This window comes from Homo sapiens, chromosome 9 (assembly GCF_000001405.40).
Source record: "Homo sapiens chromosome 9, GRCh38.p14 Primary Assembly".
Lineage (NCBI taxonomy): Eukaryota > Metazoa > Chordata > Mammalia > Primates > Hominidae > Homo > Homo sapiens.
The window spans coordinates 84,604,959-84,631,971 of NC_000009.12; the positions used below are offsets into that span (position 1 = coordinate 84,604,959).

At 39.8% G+C, this 27,013-nt stretch overlaps 1 long non-coding RNA gene across 11 annotated transcripts in view; it reads left to right on the forward strand.

Annotated features, from left to right (window-relative positions):
• Window positions 1–27,013, forward strand: part of LOC102724036 (uncharacterized) — a 247,231-nt gene that overhangs the window by 195,158 nt on the left and 25,060 nt on the right. For 10 of the 11 annotated variants that reach the window (XR_007061623.1, XR_007061626.1, XR_007061624.1 and 7 more), the window contains 4 exons: window positions 6,679–6,791; window positions 6,892–7,039; window positions 10,116–10,246; window positions 17,655–17,785. This is a non-coding gene — a long non-coding RNA (uncharacterized LOC102724036). The remainder of the gene's footprint in view (window positions 1–6,678; window positions 6,792–6,891; window positions 7,040–10,115; window positions 10,247–17,654; window positions 17,786–27,013) is intronic. The other variant, XR_007061622.1, reaches the window with a different exon arrangement.

Below are 27,013 nucleotides of genomic sequence, written 5' to 3' on the forward strand. Positions count from 1 at the left end.
TGCTGCTGGAGCTGGGCCCTGGCTCGAGAACCAAGATCCATGATCTCCATTCAAAACTACTTTGCAGTTGGGTTTCAGTCAGGTTTTATCCATATTTGTTAAACATTTTAAAATGGTTATAAGTTTCAGGAAAGCCAGTAAGTCTCAGATAGATAGAAAATATCAAGGCAATTTCCAAATGACAGTAATCATTATTGTTCTTTAGGAGGCCACATGGAACAAATTTATTCTGGAGTTTGTCTCACTAAATTTTCTTTTGTTTATTTGTATGTATGTATGTATGTACTTAGCGTGTGTCTCTTTTAGACAGAATATAACTCCTGAAAGGCAAAATAGCATCAGACTTTATTGTAGATCTTGGCTTAAGGTGCAGATGTTTTGGCTCAGTTAATAATCATTCTTTAACCTATTTTGAATTTTAGTTCATCAAGTAATAGGAAAATATGACAGTTTTTTGAATGTGTTCTTAGGGGAGGAGAGAGAAGAGTGAGAGCAAGCGAGAGAGAGAGAGAGAGAGAGTGAGAGAGAGAATATTCTCCTTTGAAGATGAGTTCTGGGCAAAAAAGGGTCGATCTTGGGTTGGTTTTAAGACATTGCCATGAAAACATCCTTTTCCCGTAATCACTTCCTGCCTTGTCTTTCACCACATCTCTCCTCTCATTCTTTAACTCCTTTACCTAGTGTGGACCCACTGCTCAAGTTTGGGATGTGCTTTTCTGGCTGGTGTCCACGTCTTCCTCTGGATTGTCAGGCCTCAGAATGAGAAGTCTTAAAGGTCTCTTCCTTCCCGCTTTGCCACCACTGCTGGAGCCCCAAAGACTTTGGAGCTTAGCATTAACTCATCCTTTCAGGTCAAGCAGCACTGGCCTTTTAAAGTGGAAACTGCTTGCTTTGATGCATGGAAATGCACATTAATAGAATCTATCTGGGGAGGGATGGGGCCTATGCATGGGAACAGTGCCCATCAGACACTATGCCCAGCCACAGTAGCTACTCTCCTGGGGAGGTGGTGTCTGAGCAGGTAGGAGGTAAGGCAGCCTGCAAGGGAGGGGTTTGGGGCAGCAGCAGACTTCTACCAATGGGCTAATGTGCTCTTACCTACTCCTGATAGGGTGGCCACACAAAGCCCTTTGGTTCTCTTGACCTTATAAACCAGGGAAGCCAAAAGTACCATCTCAGTCTGGCTCCTGATCACTACATGTGGTTGCCTAGAAGTGACTGAGAAAAGAAGAAGAAAAAAAAAAAAAAGGAAAAGGAGAAGAAGAAGGAAGAAGAAGCAGCTGCTGCTGTTGATTATATATATTCAGTGCTTAAGTGACCGGGACTGTCTTGAGAATTTATAAACATCAACTCATTTAATTCATACAATTCCATCAGAGAGGAACTTTTGCTGTTTCCATTTTATGTTAGAGACCTAAAGTTCAAAGAAATTAACTACAGATTGAGTATCCCCTATCCAGAATGCCTGGGACCAAAAGTGTTTAGGATTTTGAGCTATTTTTGGATTTTGGAATGCATGATGAGATATCTTGTGGAAGAGATTCTAAACACAAATTTCATTCAAGTTTCCTATAAACCTTATGCACATAGCCTGAAGGTAATTTTGTTTTTCCCTTGGGGATGCTGAATGAACTGTGTTGTTTGCCTGCATTTTGATGGTGACCTGTCACATGAGATTAGATGTGAAAATTTCCACTTGTGTCATGTCAATGTTCACAAAATTTTAGATTTTGAAGCATTTTGGATTAGGGATGCCCAACCTATAACTTGTCCAAGATGATGTAGATAGAAAGAGGTATGACCAGGTTTCAAGCCAGGTTGGTCTGAGTTTTGAGCCTCTCTTAACAATTCTGTTATATTAAGTTAAACAAACAAACAAAAACCTAATATCCAGGTGCTGAAGGATATGTGTTATGGGTGTGTATTTGTTTTGCATATGTATGTATGCATGCATGTGTTTTTGTGCTCATGTGTATGTTGTGTATGTGCATGTCTTAGTGTATCCATGTGTGTTTTGCCTATGTGTATATACTTATGTGTGCATGTTTGTGCATGTGTGCTTGCATACATATGCATTAACTTGCATATCTGTACATATATATTTGTTGATATATGTGTTTTTGTGTACGTGTATGTATGCCTGTGCATGTGATTTTATAGTACAGTAGAAAATACAGCTGAGAAAAAAACCTTGATAAAAATCAAGGCTCAGTGTTTAAATCATGTCCACACAGTTTCTATAGAAAATGGCTTTAGGATATACTAATCATAGCCCTGACTAAATGGCCTGTGGCCCCAGAGCAGAGTCAGCAGGAGGGATGCAGGTGGTGTAGAAGCCGTGCCTACTTTTAGCTGCCCATGAACTCCCACTTCATATGCTTCTGAATCCTGGGTTCTTTGGATACATTTATCTGGATTGAGATAATTTTCTTATTTTGGAACTGTATTAGTCCATTTTTGTACTGCTGTGAAGAAATACCTGAGACTGGGTCACTTATAAAGAAAAAGAGATTTAAATAACTCACAGTTTTGCATGGCTGGGGAGGCCTCACAATCATGGCAGAAAGCAAAGGAAGAACAAAGGCATGTCTTACATGGCAGCAGGCAAGAGAGAAGTGCGGAGTGAAGGAGGGGAAAAGCCCCATATAAAACCATCAGATCTCATGAGAACTCACTCACTACCACAAGAACAGCATGGAGGTAACTGCCCCCATGATTTAATTACCTCCCACTAGGTCCCTCCTATGACACATGGGGATTATGGGAATTACAGTTCAAGATGAGATTTGGGTGGGGACACAGCTAAACCATATCAGGGACATTGCATTTCTTGAGTAAATTCAAGTGTGTTGTCTTCAGTTTATTTTGATTCTTCATTTGACTTAAAGCAAATGCATCCCTTTCCAGGACCATCCTGGTAAACATAGCCAGGTCTTCAGAAGTGCTTGTAAAACTGCATGAGGTCACTATGGGGATGGGGTGGCTCATGACTCTACTGTGGGTTTATGGAATGCCAAGTGGCAGAAACCTAAGACTATTCCTCATTTTCTTAAGCCAGTAGAAGCAATTATAACATGACTCATTATGGCAGGGGTTCATATGTGTCCTTGCCCCTCATAACCCAAGATGGCATCAGGTGGAGATGAGACAATGTCTGCTCCAAAAGGGGGTGTTTCTTTCCAATGTCTCTTTTAAATAGGGAGGACAGTTTTCCACAAAGCCACTCCATGGTTCAGGATTGGGTTACATAGCCATGAAATAGAGTCAGCAAACTACTATAGCCCGTGGGCCAAATCTGGCTAGCCACCTGTTTTTGTTCAGCTCACAAACTGAGAATGGTTTTTACATTTTTAAAGGATAAGAAAAAATCAAAAGAAAATAAATATTTCATAACATACATAAAATCCAAGTTTCATTGTCCATCAATAAAGCGTTATTGTAATACAGCCACACCCAATTGTTTATGTACTGATTAGGGCTGCTTTTGAGCAGCAGAGCCAGAGACCCCTGTGCACTGTCCATGGAGCAGCCTGAGCAAAGCACCAAGCTGAGAAAGTGCGTGGGAGAGCAAAGTGTCTGATGCAGTTGGAAAAGACACTGAGGAGATTGGGTTAAGGTAAGATTTTGGAAGGCCTTGAGTGCTGAGCTGAAAAGGAAAACTTCGTCTTGTTGAAATGAAGGCTTTTGAGGAAGGATGAGCTGTCCTGAAATGTAACTTGATGAATATGACAGATAGGATAGAAGTCTGATGTGATATGATTGATCTGTAATAGTGGTTAGCTCTGTGTCTTAGTCTGCATGAGCTGCTACAACAAAATAAATGTTGTAGCATTTATTTTGTAAATAAGGAATTTTATAAAACAAAATTCCTTAGATCAAGGAATTTATAAAAATAGAAGTTTCTTCCTCACAATTCTGGAGGCTGGGAACTTTATGATCTAGACACCAGCAGAGTCCGTGGCTGGTGAAGGCTCTCTGCTTCACACATGATGTCTTCTTGCTGCATCCTCTCATAGTGGAAGGGGCAATCAGGTTTCCTCAAGCCTCTTCTATAAGTATACAGATCTCATTCTTGAGGGTGGAGTCCTCATGACCTCATCATATCCTAAAGCCCTCACCTCTTAATACTGTCTCATTGGTGATTAGGTTTTGATATATAATTTTGGAAGTACACAAACATTCAGACCATAGCACTCTGCCATATAACCAAAATTATAAAGAGATCTCACCAATCTTAATATAAAGCTAGGAAAATGCAATGTGGCTAAATGGACTTGAACGTGTGTTTTGTGCTGGATTCACTGAGATTTTTTTTAAATGGAGTTGAACTTCAATATTTAAAAAATCTGAATTTGTAACCTCTCTCACATGACAAGAATCAGCTGGAGCTGAGTTGGGACTGTTATTTTTAGGTTTTCCATAGTCTATCATGAGTTAGTATTCTTTTGACATTGAGGCCAAGTGTGAGTTGCTATTTATCGTTGCTGTTTAGGGTAAATGCTTGCTGCTGTAACAAATAAACCCTGACATTCCACTGGCTCAGTATCTAATATATAGAAGTACATCACTTACCGATGTAATAGTCCAACACAACACAAAGGTTCCTGGTAAGTGGATAGTCTTCTTCCATACGATCGTTTAGGGGCTAAAGGAATTTTCCATCTCATGGCTCAGCCATCTGAACCTTAGAGGCCTATGTATGCAGCTGGTGGATGGGGAAGAGAAGAGAGAGAAGGGTTAGTTTCTGAATTGCCTTGGCTCAGAAGTAACATACAACAATTTTGCTCATATTCTATTGGCAAGAACTAGTTAATGGTCCCAATCAGCTTCAAGGGAGCTATAAAAAGTATTCCATGCAGCCACTTTGTAGCAACAACTATTTATGGAAAAGGGAACATGGATTTGAGTAGACAGTTGGTCATTTCAGCTACTATCATCTTTTCTCTACTGTTTTTCTAATGGTTTAGGGTTTACTCATGACTTTTCTTATTCTTGACTGATCTCATTTGCATTACTTAAGAAGTACTTGTAGGCAATTGGCTTTGTAGCTCCTGGTGTGTGGTTAATGCATTACTTTAGAACAACAATTTAGTGGATATAAAGAGTCCTTCCTGGATGGGAATGCTTTGTTAAATTTATACTGGTATCTAGTCACTATATCTGTATTCTGACCATTTTGGTCTTTCTACCAGCTTCCTTCTGTTTAGATACTGGACTTTATATTTTGTTTTCTTTGTTTGTGTAGCAGACTCCTTCAAAACTTTATGGTGTAAAAATACCCAGTCATTTTATTAAGATGATGGGTTCTATGGGTCAGGAATTTGGACAAGCACAGCAGGGATGGCTTAACTCTGCTTCTTGGTGACTGGGTACCTAGCTGAAAGGCTTAAATGTCTGGGTGTGGTGGCTTGCACCTGTAATCCCAGCACTTTGGGAGGCCGAGGCGGGCAGATCATGAGGTCAGGGAATCGAGACCATCCTGGCTAACATGGTGAAACCCTGTCTCTAGTAAAAATACAAAACAGCCTGGCGTGGTGGTGGGTGCCTGTAGTCCCAGCTACTCGGAAGGCTGTGGCAGGAGAATGGCGTGAACCTGGGAGGCGGAGCTAGCAGTGAGCCGAGATCCACCATTGCACTCCAGCCTGGGTGACAGAGCGAGACTCTATCTCAACAATAAAAATAAAAATTAAAAAAAAAAATAAAGGCTTGAACATCTGCAGACCAATTCAGATGGCTGGAGAATGGAATCCTCTCAAGGTTCCTTTACTCATATCTGTGAAGACTGGAATGCTGGGATTGTCACCTGTAGTGTTCCAAATGGCCTCCCCATGTGGTTTGGGCTTCCTCACAGCATGGCAGCCTTGGATAGTCAAACTCCTTACATGGTGCCTTAGGACTCCAAGAGCAAGTATTTTAAACAAACGAGGCAGAAGCCCTGTAACCTTTTATGACCTAGCATTGGAAGTCACATGGTGTCACTTCGGTAGAATGCTATTGGTCAAAACAGTTGTCAGCCTACCTTGATTTAAGCAGAGGGTACTTAGACCCTACCTCTTTATGGGAAGAATGTCAAACAACTTGAAGCCATGTTTTAAAAGGTACATAGACTGTCACATTAATTGGTATCTTTGTGCACATAATATAAAGCAGGCCATTTAGCGAAAGGAGTAAGTTTTCATCAAAAGCTCAAAATATCTCTAACTTTCTTTGATCACCTCTCATCACTGTAAGGAGCTAAAATGAATAAGGACAATTCTAATTGCTTTAAACTGTGAAATATGCTACACATCCCAGGTACTCTCTTTAGAAGTCTGGATTTCTTTTTTTGAATTTTAATGCATTGGACTTTGAGGCAATATGGAATCCTATCTGGTCTGGAATCCTCTCTAGCCTGATATGTGGCTTCCCTCCCAAAATGTGTTTAGGTTTCAAGTCTGGCTTCAGACCAATCAGGCTATCTCAAACAGAATTTATAATTATGGGATGCATTTGGATCTATATCGGGAATATCACCTGGGGTGCACAGATAGAATTCTGGGAGTCCATGATCTTGGATGGGAACAATTACATGTTTATTTTCACTAACCTCTAGTTAAAATACAGCATTTTCTTCAATTACAAATGTAGGCAATAAATTATATTTATTAATTGTATATATATTTTTATTAATCTTTTCAGTACCTATGACTCCAGGATTTGCCAGTGAAAGAAGTCAACAATATTTTAACTTTGATCTTAACCAAAAGGCCAAGAAGTGATGCTAATATTTTCATATACTACGACAGTTGCAGGTATCTTGAAATTCTGTTTATGTTCATCACTACTTTAAAGTTGTGATAGTTATTAGCTATGCTTCTAAATGACATGTGACTACAGTCTCCCTGTCTACAGACACACGTCTATCATAGCTGGGTAGTAATCCAGGCAACTCTGCCACAAGTCATGGGCTCAGCCACCAGTCCACGAAGTCTCCAGTCACACATATTGCTTCGGACTATTCTCTATCCCCAGTTGTCAATTAACTAAAATATTAAATGAGGTAAGTTATTTTCATTGTTTGATAATGTTTTGCAAAACTGAACAGGCCAAATGAGAATTTATAGCCCTGGCTAAGGTGGTGCAGTCTGTTCTTCCTGGAATTCCCAGAGGTTGCTCAGGTTTAGGATTCAGGTGCGATTGAGGGAGGAAGCACCATGAGTCAGGGCACAGAAACTTGATCAAGTGGTATAAGCCCTGGTAACATTTTTCATTTGGAAGTTTCAGTGTTCTGCCCTAATAGATGGGGCCATGTAATGAAAAGACAGAAGCTTTACAAAATTAGTATTTTGGGAGATAGGTGATACAGGCACATTGCACAAAATTGAAAAATTCAGAAGGAATTCAGTGAAAATATTTATATTACTCCTGTCCCTCAGCCACCCAATTTTCTTCCCCAGAGACAACAACTGCTACTAGTTTTTTTGGTATAATTATCGATCGAATGAATATGTATGCAATCAACATCCACCATAAACACATGCCAAGCCCCTACTATAACAAGAGTCCCTTATTTTGGGGGTATCATGAAAATAAAGCATGACATTATAAAATTCAAATTGGTATGGAAAGATATCAGTTACAAAAGAAAATCTTTCTTGATCCTTCTCCTTTTAAAAAACTTTTTTGGGATCGTTTATTTTTTAGTGCTTCTGGTGCCTAGCTCCATACTTTAAATAAAGTGCTTATATCTCTATTTCTGGACTTATCAACTTCAGATAGGACTCTCCAGTATGATATGTTTTATCTAAAGCAACCTATATTAACTAATGTAAGTGAACTCCTCTCTTTCCATTTTTCAGTTAGTTATTCTTTTTAATTCCTCTTTTGGTTATCTTCACAACTTTAAAAACTATTTCTTTTGTAGTGTCAACATCAATAACATTCGTTTTTTGCTCTATAAATATGATTATTCTATGCATTGTCCATATGTTCATTCTAAATATTAACAATAATTCAAAGCTTCTAAGTTTTTATGAAATATTATAACTTAATACAAATATTTGTTATTTCCAAAATGATTATTGTGATTGGACCTTTAGAGAAGGAAATATAATCAAAACTGCTGCCATGCAAAGCAATGTTAGTAATAACACCAATTCTTATGGAATACTATCAATCCCACTTTAAAGATGAGGATGTAGAGATCCGAGGGGTTCAGAACCTTGTCCCAAGGTCTCACCGTATTTGGTAGAGCAAAGTAGACACGGTTTGAAACCAGGCAGTCTGATTCTAGTCCATGATACTCACTATTACACTGTTCTGCCTCTTTAAGCAACAACATCAAATGGATTCTCTTGCCTTCTACTCCATCAATTTCCTGTCACCTGAAATTCTTTGTAGTGAAGAATATATGAAAATGGTTGAAATAAAATGTAAAAATAACCCTTATGCCCTTCCCATAACCATTGCCCACCCCCAAAAAAATCAACGTCGATAGTTTGGTGGGTTGTCTTTCCAGTCCTTTTTCTATGTAGTTTAACGAGCTCACATACTTTACCAATTGCTTGCTTTTTGATTTGGATATCTTCCCATATGAGCATATAAAAATCTATTACATCCTGTTGAGATAGCACTTTAAAATTCCTTTATATGGATGTACCCTACTGATGGATGTTTGGATTGCTTCCAGTTTTCACTATTACACACAAAGCAGCCAAGAACATCTTAGTTCATGCTCTTTGGGCACATGTGTTTTTCTCTAGGATATGTTGGTAGCAATGAAATTGCTGAGAGTGTAGGCACATTTAAAATTGTGATAACTCTTGCTAAATTGCTTCCCTTCTACACACAGAAGGCTTTAAAATGTACACTTCTTCCACGTTGAATGAGAATGTTTGTTTCTTTATAGCACCTTCAGCATTTGAAATCATCAATATTTTTACTTTTTGTGAGGCTGATGGGCAAAAAATTGATAAACTGGTTGTTCGTAAGTGATTCTTTTATTACTAATAAGGTTCACCATCTTTTTATTGACATTTTGTCATCTGTTTGTTGACATTTGTAATTCCCCTGCAAATTGCCCGTTCATAGCCTTTGCTCATTTAACAATTGAGATATGGGCCTCTTATAGATTTGTAGGAGATCTGTATAGTTTGGATAATAATCCTTTATTTAGTGCATTGTATATATTTTCTTCCAATGGCGTGCTTATTTTTCAATTTTATTTGTGCTTTCCTTTGTCATACAGAATTTTACATTTCTATGTAGCCAAATCTGTTAATCTACCATGGATATTTCAGTTAGTATCTCAAAGCCAAGGTGTTTAAAACTGCATTTCCCATCGTGCCCCCAAATACCTTCTCCTCTTGACCATTTGAAACTTGAGTCTTGTTTTTGTTTTTTTTTTTTTATTACAAGGGCAGTTGGAAAACTTCATGGCCAATGATCTTGTAATTTTTTTAAAAAAGTAAAATAGAAGTGTAAAGATATCTTTTTAAATGCAATTATCATGCTCTTCCACGTTGCAGCAGACAACAATAGGTTGATAAGGTGGTGTCTTTGCAAGTTCCTGCACTGAAACATTATTACAAATTACTCAATGTGTTGCCTGGGGATAGGTCCTCCACCCTGATGTTGTCAAACTTAATTTGGTTCTCTTTAGCTCACTAATCTCCAAACCAGACCACTTTTCAGCCCACAGAGACCCGCCTTTTTATTGTGAGCACAATAAGGGTCGAAAGCATGTGGAAGGAATGGTTCAACGTTTTGCATTAACCCCAGGGCAGGTGTTCCTTCATGGTGGTAAAAATGGTTCCTGAATTCTACCCATATTGGAGTGAGGGTTGATAGCAAACCTAGGGGACATGATCAGTTTAAAAAATTGCGTTTCTTTCCTTCCTTCATGGGCTCCTCTCCATGCCTCCTGCTCCTCCTGACCCTCCCATCTGCCCTGGCAAGGAAGAGAGCACACTGCTTTCTGTCCATTCTTTGCCCTCTTTCTTGGCTTCCATAGCTATACTTTGGGGACCTCACAGTAACTTCCCAGTGCACCTCACAGTAACTTCCCAGTGCAGAGCACTTGACTGCACGGAACCTGGATTGACTCAAACCTGTGAATTTCCCTTCCTGAAACCTAGGATGCCATGGAGTCCCCCAACTGATTTCATAAATTTGGTGTCACATTGTAAATCAAGCAGCTGCAGAGTGGCTGGGACATCTGTTTGGTTCTGTTATTCTCTTTACTCCAAAAGGAAACTAACTCCAAAAGGTCAGTAAAATGTGCACATTGCCAGTAAGTGCCTGTATTATTCTTCCCAGGCATGGATCAAAAATATCAGGATCTTTTGCTTGTTAAAAGTAAAATTTTGTGTGCACACACACACACACACTTATTGTAGCTTCATGGAACTCTGCCTAAAGGATAAGGCAATATATCCTTTGTTTGCTTTTGTAGGAAAAGCAAATAAATAAGTGGTATCCTGGAGTTTACTTAGATATCTGTTCATCTTTACCAATTTAAAGATGTTGGAAACAGTGATTAAAAAATAGCTAAAGAGGATGAAGAGGATGCAAGACAAGAACTGCTATCCATAACCATTAGGTTGGACATGGGAGGCCACTTTCTTTAACAGGATTTTTCCTATTTCCCTTTCTCATAGAGAGTGTTAGGCTAGGCTGTGCTATGCTTACAAATACCCTTTCCCTATTCCCCACCCACAGCTGCATATTACTCACTTTACATTACACAGGTTCGTTTCTGGTTCTTGCAGGCCTGATAGGGGGCAGATAATCCTCCTGGGAATTGATCTCCCTGCTGGGAGGAGGGGAACTCAGTGCCAGAGGGTTGCACACCGCTCTTAAGGGCAGTTCTGTAAGTGATAGATGTTACTTCTGCTTTGTTTCTTTTGACCGCAACTGGCCACATGGCCCTACCATGGGGGTTTGGAAATATGGAAGAGCCTATTTGATAAATAGTAAAGGTCTCTGACACACAAGCTGTATCTGAGGCAGACATAAAAAAGATACAATTCCTCATTTTTACTACTTAATTTTTGACTTAGCAACAGTCCCCTTCACACTTCCCCCTTTCTTTTCACTTCTACTACCAATATCCATAAAATATGCTAAAATCTAATTTTAAATAAAAGGTTAAAAGCCAATATGACTTAGAAGGTGTGTATACAGAAGAATATCTATGGACTGTAATATAGCTCTATATAAATAAAATTATTCTATCACAAAATAGAGTTCTTAATTAAAAGTTCCCAACCAAGTTAATTCCCAGCCCCTAAACAGTTTCTAGAGTAGACTACGCATTCAGCAGCACAAAACACCTTCACTATAAACCCTCCTGACCAACACTAATTAAATATACAGATTCCTGGTCTCTGTCCTAAATCTACTTACACCGGAATTTCCTGGGGTAGGGCCCATTTTGAAAGAGCACCACAGATAATTCTAATAAATACTGAAATTTGAGAAAGGCTAGCTTGTATTAATTTTCCCAGGAGCATTTACATATTTCAAAAGACAGCTGAAAGAAGGAAATGTTTCATATGAAGGAGTGATTTGCTAAAAGCTGAGATTCAAACACCAGTGGGGCAGTAGTCTTTGAGTGAGGGCCTTTCTGTATTGGGCCATACTCAGCATGTTTGCTTATGTAGCTATTCAGCTACGTAAAGTTGACATGTACAGTATTTTGGGGGTATCCTATAGTATTCTATTTTTGCATTTTCTGGCTCACCCTCATGGAGGATAGTTTCCTATTAATGGCTTTTCCATTTTGCCTGTAGGATCATCTTCAGTGGTTTTTGTTTTGTTTTGTTTCCTATGGGATTTTCAGATCCCTGGAATATGAAAGTATCCCTACAGAGTAGTTTTTGCTTAGTTTTATCAGGTGTCCAGTGGATTTCACTTGCTCAGGACAACTTGCCTGAGGTTGGCTTCACGACACTTGCAGAGAATTCCTAATTTACACATGGCACGGGCATGCCTTGTTTGGTCCTGTGCATCCAAGGCCAAGGGCAGAGATATACTTCCTTGCTGCTTGGTAGGCCAACTGTAATGTTTGCTTCTGGTCTCCTCTTCTTGAAGAAAATAGTCCCTCCAGTCTGCTCAGGGCAGATATCTTACTCCCTCAGGAGCATCAGAATTTCTAGATCTGATCTGATTTCCCCAGCACCCATCCTTTGGAAGCCGTGGTATCATCTCTAAGATATAACTCTGTAGCTTTTAATTTCTCCTTTTCCTTCCTGGTACCTGAAGATATTCATGTCTTTATTTTGAATTCAGCTTAGAAGTTTTTTAAAAAATGGGTCTATTTGATCCATTATGTGTTTGGAGCCAGGCCCGGGAAAAAGCTTATACTTCATGACTCTTCAGTCTGCCATTTCTCTTGAAGTTTTATAAGGTTTTTTAGGAGGCGTGTTACTTTACCCTTAGTTATATTCATTTGTTTTGTGCTGCCACTGCTGTTTTGTTTGGTGAATTTTCTTTGCTCTTGAACAATATTTGATGTTAAAAAGGTCCCATTTCAAGCAGAAAACAGGCCATTAGTCACACTCTCCCATGGAACTGAGTTTATTTTCCTCACATAGTTCTCATCACACTATATTGCAGTCAGTTCCAGACAGCTTTGCTTTCTGCACCGTAGGCTTCTGGGCCCAGTGATCAGATCTCATTAATCTTTTTATCTCCAGTTCTGGCACAGTGCCTAGCACATAGGATTGGACAGAAGAGGTTTGTGCTGTTGGTTATTAAATAGAAATCCTTGCCGATGATGATGATGATGGTGATGAATGCTACCACAATAGGAAGGCCCCACAGAATTCTGATCCTGGTATGGATGGCTAGAACGTCCTTCTCTGTTTATTGGATTTTTAAGTGCTGTTAATGGCTATTAACTAGTCTGTGTAGATTAACACCTGCTCCCTGCCTGGATGCATACACAGCCATTAGTTGCAGAGAATAGCCTCCCTGAGGGATCAAAAATACATAAAAATTTGGGAAAGGATTTGTATCCTTTTTCTCAGTGATGGCCTCTGGTCCCCAGGTACATGCTCCACGACCATCTGCTACAAGCTCTGCCTGCCCCTCCACCCACTCAGCCTCCCTTCCTCCCTCTCTTCCTCCTATCCTTCCACTCTTCCTCTCTTTTTTTCTCTCTTTTACAACTATAGATGAGGTGCTTTGCTGAGTAAAACCATAGTAATTTATAATAAATACTTGTTGGATGAATTCTCTAATTATCCTTAAAAGGACAAAAATACAGTCTAGCTCATTTTTTCATACAAAGGCATCCTCTAATGTATAAGTGAATTATAGCTGTTAGCATTTACTAACCACATCATCATCTACTGGGTACTTGTTGCTAAGCATTTTACACCTATGGAATCATTTCACCTTGTACGTGACCTGTGAGATGGAGGATATTACACATATGTTGAATCTTACTGGAGGCAGGGAGTAGGCAGAGAATAATTCATTCCAGAGCACGTACTCTGGGAATGGTAGAGCTGAGGTCTGAACACAGCCTGCCTGGCTATAAAGGCTGTCCTAAACATTGTACATGCTTCACACAGTACCCATCAGCTGAACAAACAGTCCCTATGGAGGGTCCACCAGGCCCACCCACACAGTTGGGATTCTTGTTTTTGATTCAAGAGTGATATAGAGAGCTAGAGAGTGCTGGGCTCCTCTTTCCCTTCCAGACTGGCAGACTCAGAAGGATGAGGAACCAAAGACATTAGTTTTTCTATGGCAAGTCTGAGGCTGACAGCTGGGGCCAATATCAAGGAATTGTGGCCTAAATATCTTGTACTCCTCTTCTGGTTTCTAGATGATGAGGGTAATATTCCAAGAATGTCATGATAGCAATATTAAAATTATTATTGTCAATATTAGAAAGATAAGGCAATAGCCTCAAGAAGAGAATACCCAAGCTAAGTTTCTCTAATAATCCAAAGTCTGTTTTGAGATGCAAGCAAGTCTATTTTACAGTTTAAAAAGAGAGAGAGAAAGGAAGAAAGAAAATGCTAGCCTTAACACAGGCTCTAAAGGGGCTGCCAGCCTCTGTGTGGGCGATGTCTAGCACCATAAGAGAGGAAGTTTGGCTAAGGCAGGACTCTCAATAAGAGAGGATGCCTACCTTCTCTGCTCTGGGGACAAGGATCTAGAATATAATTATGTGTGTGTGTTTCTGTGTAGGGTGCATTGAACCAGATATTTATTCATTGCAGTCTCTGGCAACTCTATGTTAATAAAGAAGATTAAGCGGAGGACATGGGGGAGCCTCCAGAAAACTTCTTTGTGAGGAAGCTAACATGCATTCTGTGTCTCTTCTTCTGGCTTAGCTCCTTCCAGTTGGCTGAGATTTAAAGGATGGTTGGAGATCCAGCAGCCATCTTGGACCATGAGGTGAATCATGATGAAGCAAAATGACAGAAAGAGCCAAGATCCTTGTCCTGTGGAAAGCAATACAGGTCCTGGACTGCTCTTGTTACACTAGAAAAAATGTACTTTTAGTTTATTTATTTATTTTTGAGACAGAGTCTTGTGGAGTCTTGCTCTGTCTGGCCCAGGCTGGAGTGCAGCGGTGCAATCTCAGCTCACTGCAACCCCTGCCTTCCAGGTTCAAGTGATTGTCCTGCCTCAGCTTCCCAAGTAGCTGAGATTACAGGCACGTGCCAGCATGTCTGGCTAATGTTTGTATTTTTAGTAGAGACAGGTTTTTGCCATGTTGGCCAGGCTGGTCTCAAACTCCTGACCTCAAGTGATCCAACTGCCTCGGCCTCCCAAAGTGCTGGGATTACAGGCATGAGCCATCACGCTGGCCCTTTTAGCTAATTTAAACAACTGCTAATTTTGATTTTACACCATTTGCAGTGAAGCCTAATTGTAGCTGATCCATCCTATACCAAGTGACTCCCAACGGACACTACACAGCATAAGTTGGAAAGAATCAAAGCCTACTTAACAATTAAATTGTTTTGTGTGTAGCACAAAACAGACCAGAGAAATCCTGTTTGAGCAGTGGTGAGGGTGTTCACACTGCTCGAACATTGTTCCCAAGTTGTGATAGAGGAAGAGGGGAACTTCCTCTAACTTTTTCTGTGTTGCTTTCGCTTCTCACCAACGCTTTTTGCCAGGTGCCTTTGCTGTTTTGATCAGAGAATGCTAATTGCTGATTGTTCCATCTCGTTAGGTAAAGTGGGAATTTGGTGAGGCCCATTCCTTGCATTAGGGCAGGATGCTAAAACGGTCTTGGTGATGCTGAAAAGCCAGGCTCTGTTTCTTTTTCTCCAGAGAGAGAGGCTATGTGGATGAAGATGATGAGGATGGTGGGGGCAAGATGGATGCTCTGGGACAGAAGTACACTTGCTTTTGGAAAACAAAGAGGCCTCTCCTCTTGACAAGCCAGTTCTGCTAAGTGAACCCTGGATAGAAACTAAGGGAACATTTAAGAGTGAATGGAATTTTAAAAATTGCACAATGCAGTGAGATGGCAGTTACAGTGAAGTCTTTGCAATTATTCTTGCTGATAGTGAAGGATCTTATCATGATCCCTGTGGGCCTGGATGAAGCCACTTCCTTCACATGGATGTGATGGTATCCCGTGACTTGGCTCCCGAACAACTCCTGCTTAGAAGCTGATGCTGCACTTGGAAAAATATTTCTAATGTTTGAATAATGACAATACACTGTGAGTCTTGAAATGGTTTCCCAGCTTGAGCAAGGACAAGGACTTTATTGAAGAATTGTGCCTGGAGGGAAATGATTGGCAATTATCTGCTTCATTATGTCTTTTGGGGCAGTACAAACAAACAGGGCATCAAAGTAATACATGTCTTTAGGTTTTGGATATATGGGGAACATTACATACATTAGTAGCAATGGTAGCACTGACCAGATGCTGGATACGTTCTAAGCACTTTACTGATGTTAGCACAGCTGATCCAATAGTTCCACAAGGCAAATTCCATCACTATCCTCATTCTGATTTTCAGATGAGGAAACTAAGGCATGGTTATTAATTTGTCCACAGTTACAAGGTTAGGTTACGTATAGTTAGTATAAGATAGAGATGGGATTTGAACCAGGGAGTGGGTTCCAAAGTCCAAGCTCTTAACCAGTACATGAGACCATCTGTTGACATTGATTGAACACACACACACACTGATATGGTTTGGCTGTGTCCCCACCCAAATCTCATCTTGAATTATAGCTCCCATAATTCCCGCGTGTTGTGGAAAGGACTTGGTGGGAGATAATTGAGTCATGGGGGCGGCTTCCCCCATATCATTCTCATGGTAGTGAATAAGTCTTACAAAATCTGATGCTTTTATAAGGGGAAACCCATTCTGCTTGTTTCTCATTGTCTTTCTTGCTTATTGCCAATGTAAGACGTGCCTTTCACCTTCTGCCATGATTGTGAAGCCTCCCCAGCCACGTGGAACTGTAGGTCCATTAAACCTCTTTTCTTTATAAATTACCCAGTCTTGGGTATGTTTTTATCAATCAGCAGCCTGAAAACGAACTAATGCACACACACACACACACAGACACACACACACACACACACACACACGATGTCGAGGAAACCTAAAAGTGTCATGTTATCCATCCTCAGATATCGGACAGCTCATTCTTTTTAATAGTTATTGACAGCAACTTGTGCATACATTTTGAATAGTCAAGGTTAATAAGAGTTATCCTCATTCTCTAAAATTAGCGTTGACACCATCTGTGTGGCTTTGGACAAGTAATTTAACCTTTCCAAGCCTTGGTTTTCTTATTCGTAAAATTGCAATAATAATTCTTTTCCTACAGGGTTGTTAGGATGTTAAGCAAGAGAGAGTATATAAAATGCCTGTCATACGCTTTCACTGTGACAGGCATAAGTCATGTCCTGGAGTCAGGAGTGGAGGCAATATTGCCTGAAGAGGAGAAAGTTAAGAATGGGGAGAGTGTTTTTCTCTTGATGCAGAATTCAGATGCCTACCTTTATGGAGGTAAATGTAAGTGGATGCCAGAAACAGAAACTGTCTACTTCAGTGGTTGGCCCATGCGAGGAACTCAAAAAATGATGGTTTTAGGCCTGTTGTGGCATTCAAACTCATGGAATGCCACTCTGAAACATTTTTCTTTGAATTGTGCAAACTAGAATGGCATCCAAAAACTTTAACAGGTTGATAGATGTCATCATTAGAATTGTAAGAAAGTACATTACATCCTTACCTTGCTTTTTATTCAACATTTCATTCCACTCCCACATTGTATTCCCCCAGTGATCTTAAAAGCCTTCCGAATCCTTGCTTCTGATATGAAGACCAGAGATGAAGTGGTAGATAATGTGCCTACCATATCTTATCAGGCAGTCTTCCAGCAAACTCTCACTAAAGTCCCAGCTTTACAGAAATAATCCAATGTAGAATTTGGAGGAAAATTATTATTGCAAGGAGAAATAAAATCAGGAAGCCAAACTTTCCCCCTTTATTATAACTAGTCAAGTTAATTACTCGTTGTTATTCATTTATTTATTCACTCACCAAATATCTATTTAAGTACCTGCAACATATCTTGTTCTATGTAGGTACTGGAACTACAAGGGATATGGGAGCTCCTTTTTTTTTAAAAAAAATTATTTATCTAATTTTTCTTACCCCCTTCCATCACAGAAGAAAACCTGATGTCTGAGCTGAATCCTAATCATGAAGATGTTTTTCCACCATTCCTGTCTGTGTTTTTCTACCATTCCTGTCTGTGTTTTTCTACCAAAGTGTGCTCTTGAAGTTCTGCATTTCCCAGGGTAAGTGGTAGGGTCTTCCAAGGAGTTGGGAAGGAATGGGTAAGCAGGTGGCCATGGCTCTTTTGTCTTTTCTATATTTTGGGGTTTCTCATAAGGATATTTTCAAAGAAAGGGACACACACACACAGAGGTGTTAGAATCAGGCAATCCGGTCTAAATTTCAGCTCTGCCAGTGACACTCTAAGTGTGTGACTTTGCATAAGTTACTCATCTCTGTAGGACTATTTTCTTATGGGTTAAAATGAAGATGATAACAAGTGCCTCATGGAAATACTTTACAGAACTTTATAGAACGCGGTGAGGATCCAATGAGATAACCTATGTGATAAGAATTTGTCACAGTGCCTGGCACATAGTAGGAACTTATTAAAAGTTTATTTTCATCCTCATTTCCCTTTCGTCCTCTTCTTCCCATTCTTACTGCCTTCCCCTTTCCCTGTCTTCTGACGTCACCTTAGGGGTAGCTGGTGCAGGTCTAGATGTTCACAGAGATTGATCTAAGTTGTGGCAATTGTTGTCCCTTCTACATGGACCCGCCCCCTTTCCTTGAGTCTCTTGTGGAAGTGACTGCCTGTGAGAGACGACGCCAGCTGGTAGAGGGATTGTGACCTCTGAGAGAGGCCTCCACTTTTCTGAGCAGGAAAAACTGGGATGACCTTGGCTGCCCCACCTTGGGAACTGCACTCCTGGGAACATCATGATACTGGCAGGAACAATGAGGCCGAGGGTGGGGGGCAGAAGAAATGCTTCTCTTTTTAATTACCTGCAGAGCAAACTCATTGTGAATACTCTCCTAAATGCAAACATGGAGAACTGGTACCTACTGTAGTCAGAAATTTTGAGTGCCAAGTTACAGGGACACAACTCAAATTGGTTTAAGCATAGAGAGGGAATAATTGGTTAAGGAGCCAAAAATCCACATGGCTTCACAATGGCTGTTTTCAGTCACTAAACCCATGTCTTCAGAATCTGTCTCTCAATCTCAGCTCTTCCTTCTTAGGCAGGTCCTCCTCTTGTTGCAGCAAGATAGTCACTAACAATGCCAGGAGTTTTTCTACCACCTTTGCAACCACAGCTAAAAGCATCCCTTTTCTGCTGGTTCCAGCAAGAATTCCCAGACTGAGTCATCTGTCCATCCTGACCAAATTCCTGTAGGGAGTGGGACACACTTGTTCTGATTGGCCAGGCCTCCCTGCTGGAAGGAGAGATTAACCAAATATAGGGTAAATTTAGGTAGTGTTACCAGAAGAAGGGATATTAAGGACACACAAAACAACAAGTGTTTCCTCCGGGCTCAGTACTTTCATGTATTTTCTTATAAAATATCTAAATCTTACAAAGAAAGGACATGTTTCTAGGTATCCTTGTGCCTACAACATAAACATAAGAATATTTCAGGCCCATGAAAAATCTAATTATTAGCCTATTTGCCCTATCAAACTACACAGTGATAAAATAATGAAATTAATATCAGTTTTTGCTTCACCTATGCAATTATTAAATTATCTGGATAGATCTTTGTTTCTAACTCATAAATAGGTTAACTTGGCAAGCATCAAAAAACATAGGAAGCCATGGGTGATGGTTAGTTTTTGTTTATTCCTAATTTTTTTGTTGCTTTTAATTTCATCACAAGAGATGGTTAGTTTTATGTGTCAATTTAGATAGACTATAGCACAAAGTTGTTCAACCAAACAGGAATCTAGGTCTTCCTGTGAAGGCGTTATGTAGTGGTTAGCGTCCACAATCAGTGAACTTAAGTAAGAGATTGTTCTTGAGTGTGGATGGGCCTCATCCACAAGTTGAATAGCTTAGTGGAAAAAAACATGGTTTCTCTGAGGGAGAAGAAATTCCACCTTTGGACCACAGAGTCAGCTCCTGCCCAAGAGTTTCCAGCCTGCCAAGCTGCCCTGCAGATCCACGAACTGCACAAACCCACCCTCCTTCCTCCAAATACACAGTAACGTGGCACATACTGAGGTTTCAGTTGACATCTATGACGGTGGTCCCATAAGATTAGAATACTGTATTTTTTTACCATACCTTTTCTATGTTTAGACATGTTTGGATACACAAATACCATTGTGTTATAGTTGTCTACTGTATACAGTAGAGTAACATGTTGAGAGAAACAGGGTATACCCTATAGCCTAGATGTGTAGTAGGCTATACCATCTAGGTTTGTGTAAGTACACTCAGTGATGTTTGCATAGTGACAAAACTGCCTAATGATGCATTTCTTAGAATGTATCCCTATTGTTAAGTGACACATGACTGTATACACACACACACACACACACACGTATGTGTATACATATATGTATGTATTTGTATATATATAGGTATAAACATATCTCCTACTGGTTCCGTTTCTCTGTTAGAACCATGACTGATAGACCATAGAATGTTAAAATGTGTTCTGTAGTTGAAAAATGACATTGGTCATGCTGCCAGTGAGATTCAAGTCAAAGTTGAGGCACAAACCCATTCTCCTTTAGTATGCAAGTTGTTTAATATGCATGCACCTATAGTGTAGTTGCTGAAAAAACACATTTTCCAACAATGGTACCACTTTTTATGGGCCCCTGAAAAACAGTGTCACTGCAATACTTGAAACAAATACTTGATAATACTTGAAATATAGCACCTTTCTACTGAGGAAGTTAAACAACTTTGCAGGAATTATCTCATGATCTACATGTGATGCTAATGAGGTAGGTGGCAAATATGATCAGCCCCACTTTATAGACGGAAATTGGGACACAGTGGATGTGACTTGGCCCAAAGCTGTGTTGAAACTCACTAACAAACTAGGGATAGAAAAAGGAGTTTTGCAGGCTTCAAGCCTGCAAGCTTTTTCAAGGTGTATTCTCTCTATCCCTCCTATGAGAATCACTTGGAATTATTAAAATGCAGATTCCTGAACTCTGTCCTAGATGCACTGAATCAGAATTCTGGCATGGGGACCAAAGAGTCTGCCATGTTGGTGAGATTCTTGGGTGAGTCTTGATATGGTAAAGTCTGAGAACCACCTTGTTAGGTGTAGCTTTTCACCTTGTCTATATCTCAACTGTTTGACTTTGTAAATACATAAATTGAAAAATTTAGGAAGTAAATAACTGGCTTTTCTGGGTCAATTAGGAAAGAAAAAAAAACGAAAAGAAAAAATACTGGTTTACTTTTTTAAAAAAGCGTACTTTTCTCAAACTCCGTGCTAGGCAAACCACTACTCTAGAACTCAGGATTAAGAAACTCACTCAAAACCGCTCAACTACATGGAAACTGAACAACCTGCTCCTGAATGACTACTGGGTACATAACGAAATGAAGGCAGAAATAAAGATGTTCTTTGAAACCAATGAGAACAAAGACGCAACATACCAGAATCTCTGGGACACATTTAAAGCAGTGTGTAGAGGGAAATTTATAGCACTAAATGCCCACAAGAGAAAGCAGGAAAGATCTAAAATTGATGCCCTAACATCACAATTAAAAGAACTAGAGAAGCAAGAGCAAACACATTCAAAAGCTAGCAGAAGGCAAGAAATAAGTAAGATCAGAGCAGAAGTGAAGGAGATAGAGACACAAAAACCCTTCAAAAAATCAATGAATCCAGGAGCTGGTTTTTTGAAAAGATCAACAAAATTGATAGACTGCTAGCAAGACTAAAAAGAGAGAAGAATCAAATAGACGCAATAAAAAATGATAAAGAGGATATCACCATCAATCCCACAAAAATACAAACTACCATCAGAGAATACTATAAACACCTCTATGCAAATAAACTAGAAAATCTAGAAGAAATGTTAAATTTCTAGACACATACACCCACCGAAGACTAAACCAGGAAGAAGTTGAATCCTTGAATAGACCAATAACAGGCTCTGAAATTGAGGCAATAATTAATAGCCTACCAACCAAAAAAAGCCCAGGACCAGACAGATTCACAGCCAGATTCTACCAGAGGTACAAGGAGAAGCTGGTACCATTCCTTCTAAAACTATTCCAATCAACAGAAAAAGATGGAATCCTCCCTAACTCATTTTATGAGGCCAGCATCATCCTGATACCAAAGGCTGGCAGAGACACAACAAAAAGAGGGAATTTTAGACCAATATCCCTGATGAACATTGATGCAAAAATCCTCAGTAAGATACTGGCAAACTGAATCCAGCAGTGTATCAGAAAGCTTATCCACCATGATCAAGTGGGCTTCATCCCTGGGATGCAAGGCTGGTTCAACATATGCAAATCAATAAACATAATCCAGCATATAAACAGAACCAAAGACAAAAACCACATGATTATCTCAATAGATGCAGAAAAGGCCTTTGACAAAATTCAACAGCCCTTCATCCTAAAAACTCTCAATAAATTCGGTATTGATGGAACATATCTCAAAATAATAAGAGCTATTTATGACAAACCCACAGCCAATATCATACTGAATGGGCAAAAACTGGAAGCATTCCCTTTGAAAACGGGCACAAGACAGGGATGCCCTCTCTCACCACTCCTATTCAGCATAGTGTTGGAAGTTCTGGCCAGGGCAATCAGGCAGGAGAAAGAAATAAAGGGTATTCAATTAGGAAAAGAGGAAGTCAAATTGTCCCTGTTTGCAGATGACATGATTGTATATTTAGAAAACTCCATCGTCTCAGCCCAAAATCTCCTTAAGCTGAGAAGCAAGTTCAGCAAAGTCTCAGTATAGAAAATCAATGTGCAAAAATCACAAACAGAGAGCCAAATCATGAGTGACCTCCCGTTCACAATTGCTTCAAAGAGAATAAAAGACCTAGGAATCCAACTTACAAGGGATATGAAGGATCTCTTCAAGGAGAACTACAAACCACTGCTCAAGGAAATAAAAGAGGACACAAACAAATGGAAGAACATTCCATACTCATGGATAGGAAGAATCAATATCATGAAAATGGCCATACTGCCCAAGGTAATTTATAGATTCAATGCCATCCCCATCAAGCTACCAATGACTTTCTTCACAGAATTGGATAAAACTACTTTAAAGTTCATATGGAACCAAAAAAGAGCCCACATTGCTAAGACAATCCTAAGCCAAAAGAACAAAGCTGGAGGCATCACGCCACCTGACTTCAAACTATACTACAAGGCTACAGTAACCAAAACAGCATGGTACTGGTACCAAAACAGAGATATAGACCAATGGAACAGAACAGAGCCCTCAGAAATAATACCACACATCTACAACCATCTGATCTTTGACAACAAACCTGACAAAAACAAGAAATGGGGAAAGGACTCCCTATTTGATGGTGCTATTTAAATAGGCTGTTTAAATAGCCTATTTAATGGCTAGCCACATGTAGAAAGTTGAAACTGGATCCCTTCCTTACACCTTATACAAAAATTAATTCAAGATGGATTAAAGACTTAAATGTTAAACCTAAAACCATAAAAACCCTAGAAGAAAACCTAGGCAATACCATTCAGGACATAGGCATGGGCAAGGACTTCATGTCTAAAACACCAAAAGCAATAGCAACAAAAGCCAAAATTGACAAATGGGATCTAATTAAACTAAAGAGCTTCTGCACAGCAAGAGAAACTACCATCAGAGTGAATAGGCAACCTACAGGATGGGAGAAAATTTTTGCAATCTACTCATCTGACAAAAGGCTAATATCCAGAATCTACAAAGAACTCCAACAAATTTACAAGAAAAAAACAACCCCATCAAAAAGTGGGCGAAGGATATGAGAAGGCGCTTCTCAAAAGAAGACATTTATGCAGCCAACAGACACATGAAAAAATGCTCATCATCACTGGCCATCAGAGAAATGCAAATGAAAACCACAATGAGATACCATCTCACACCAGTTAGAATGGTGATCATTAAAAAGTCAGGAAACAACAGGTGCTGGATAGGATGTGGAGAAGTAGGAATGCTTTTACACTGTTGGTGGGACTGTAAACTAGTTCAACCATTGTGGAAGACAGTGTGGTGATTCCTCAAGGATCTAAAACTAGAAATACCATTTGACCCAGCCATCCCATTACTGGGTATATGCCCAAAGGACTATAAATCATGCTGCTATAAAGACACATGCACACGTATGTTTATTGCAGCACTATTCACAATAGCAAAGACTTGGAACCAACCCAAATGTCCATCAATGATAGACTGATTAAGAAAATGTGGCACATATACACCGTGGAATACTATGCAGCCATAAAAAAGGATGAGCTCATGTCCTTTGTAGGGACGTGGATGAAGCTGGAAACCATCATTCTGAGCAAACTATCGCAAGGACAGAAAACCAAACACTGCATGTTCTCAGTCATAGGTGGAAATTGAACAATGAGAACACTTGGACACAGGAAGGGGAACATCACACACCGGGGCCTGTGGTGGGATGGGGGGAGCGGGGAGGGATAGCATTAGGAGATATACCTAATGTAAATGACGAGTTAACGGGTGCAGCACACCAGCATGGCACATGTATACATATGTAACAAACCTGCACATTGTGCACATGTACCCTAGAACTTAAAGTATAATAAAAAAAGAAAATGAGAAACTGAAAAAAAAGTACTTTTAATGCTTCCTACTATTTCCAAAGAGGTTTTTAAAGAAAATGAGGCGATCTATAAGTCACTGATGGGTACAGTCTATCCAATTCCTGGTCTCCATTTATTGGTATTTGTGCACTGTTTTGCTTTCTTAACCCTTCAACCTTGCCTGAGAGCCCTCTCCTGCTGCCTCCTAGGGTCTCTCTGGGCCCTTTAGCCAAACAAATGCAGACAACATTGACAACATTGGCAAGCCAAGAACATTTTTGCTACAGTAGCCCTGACAGGAATTGTACAGGAGCTCTTAAGCTGTCTCTAAGACCAGGGGATATCTGACAGGGCGAATTCACCTTGGCAAAAACATTTGATCCACTGGCCAAACAAACTCAGTTGGTGATGATGCAAACATTGGCTGAAGCTTATAGCTTTTATGTCCTTACCTTTTTGTCGTTGTTTTATTTTTTAAAAGTTTGATAAAAGGAGGTTCCTGTACAACAGAAGTTCTTAAAGACAACAAAAGCTTACCTTTCTATAATAGAAAAAGAGGTTAGGCTATATTTGAACATCTTACATCCTCCATAGAATCTAGAATATTACTGCATACACTCTCTGTGTTTATAGGAGACCTTTGTAAAAACAGAGACCACAAGATCTATTAGGGAGGTGCCATTGATGTGGCCAGTGACTGGGTCGGTCCTACGAGTTAGCAGCCATCACCGCCCACCCCCTGCACTGAAACTTGTCCTCCTCAGTCTGCAGTTGACTTGCACATAGGATCACAAGGTAAATAAGGGAAAGAGGGTGAATAGAGCACACTTTGGCTTGACACTTTAGGCAAAGCCCTACTTAGCAGAAAATGACTCAAACCCTTACGACCTAAGGTACAAAATTCTAGGTTCAGTCCCTGGAATCCCGTTTTATAACCCTTTCCCCAAAATACCAAAATAGATGATGCAAATAATTTAAAATGAAACTCAAATAATACACTTTCACAAACCTTTAATTATGTAAAGCTAAACAGTGTTAAGAGTTCTGTTGTGATCATGGAAAACTGGGAATACAAATGCCCATTTGTGTGGAAATGTTTATGGAATTTTTATAGAATGAAACTCTATGTAAATGGTAATTAAATGAAGTATATCTACCTGTGTGGACATAGATAATAATATCTAGTGTGTATTTTTTTTTTTATACTTTAAGTTGTGGGATACATGTGCAGAACGTGCAGGTTTCTTGCATAGATATACACGTGCCATGGTGGTTTGCTGCACCCATCAACCCGTCATCTACGTTAGGTATTTCTTCTAATGCTATCCCTCCCCAGCCCCCAACCAACACAAATTGTGAAAGGCTACACAGACGCTCCTTGGCTTACCATCATGTTATGTCCCAATAAACCCATCATAATTTGAAAATATTGTAAGCCAAAAGTGCATCTGGATGGAAGTCAAGCAGATAAAGAGCATACTGAGTGCATATCACTTTCACACCGTTGAAGTAAAAAATTCAGAAGTTGAACCATTGTAAATCAGAACTGTTTGTAGTCTGATGCTGTTTTGCAAAGTAATAACAACCAGACATGTAAGCATATGGAAGCACAGAAAACCTAGAGGGCTATGCACCTAATGGTTAAGAGATTTGGGACCACAGGAGATATTCGCTTTCTACATTATGATTTTCTCTTATGTTTGAATTTCCTGTAACAAACACAATTCTTTTCTTAATCAGAGCAAATTTTAGGTGTTAAAAAATGAAATGCTGGAAATTTCCTTCTGGGGGATTTTTCCACATGGGCTAGACTAGTTGAGGTGTCCTATAATGCAGTCTAATATAGAGGTTGAACAATGTGTGGTGCTAGTCTGGGTTTTCAGTGAAGCAGGTGCTGGGACAGAGTCATGAGTGCAGAAGGCTTATGGGCTGTCACACCTGTGAAGGGCGGAAGCAGTGCTCCATGGAGGAAGCCATCGCACCTGCTGCAGACCTGACTCTCCCACCTCCCAGGGAAGCTCTGGAGCCCAGAGGCCCATTAGACCCATGCTGGGCCCTTGTACTGAGCCCTGTATCACTTTCTTACACAGTCGTTTTCTGAGGGTCACCCGAGAAGAGCATGGCCTGGACTGAACACTGAAGCAAACACTGACAGAGGTGACACTTGGAGGCTGTCAGCTCACCAGGCCCCTCCAAGCGGCAGGGCAAGTCTTTTCCTGAATGGGCATCTCAGCTGTGCTTTTCCACTTCTGCCGCAGTGCCTTTTTCACTTCTCTGTGTACAAGCTTAGGCTTTATTTATGGAAAAGATGATTTGGGGTGAAATCCTGCACTTTTCCCTATGTGATCCACAACACTTTCTAACCATGTCAATTCTACTTCAGCTGTATTATGAAAACAGTGTTTAAGAAGTGGCTTATTGTATGTGAAAGTTATAAAGGATAAAGTTATTTATGTTAGTCAGAATATATAAATATGTGTCAGAACACTTTTGTGAACTCCAAATAATTTCTGAGAAGATACTGGAAAAATATCAATGACAAATAATTAAATATACAAATGACTTTATATTTATTCACATTTCCTCTTCACAACAGCCCTTTGAAGAAGTTGCTGTTATTCCCATTTTACAGATGAGGAAACTAAAGCACAAAGTGGTTAAGTGACTTCTCCAAGTCAGTTAGTAACA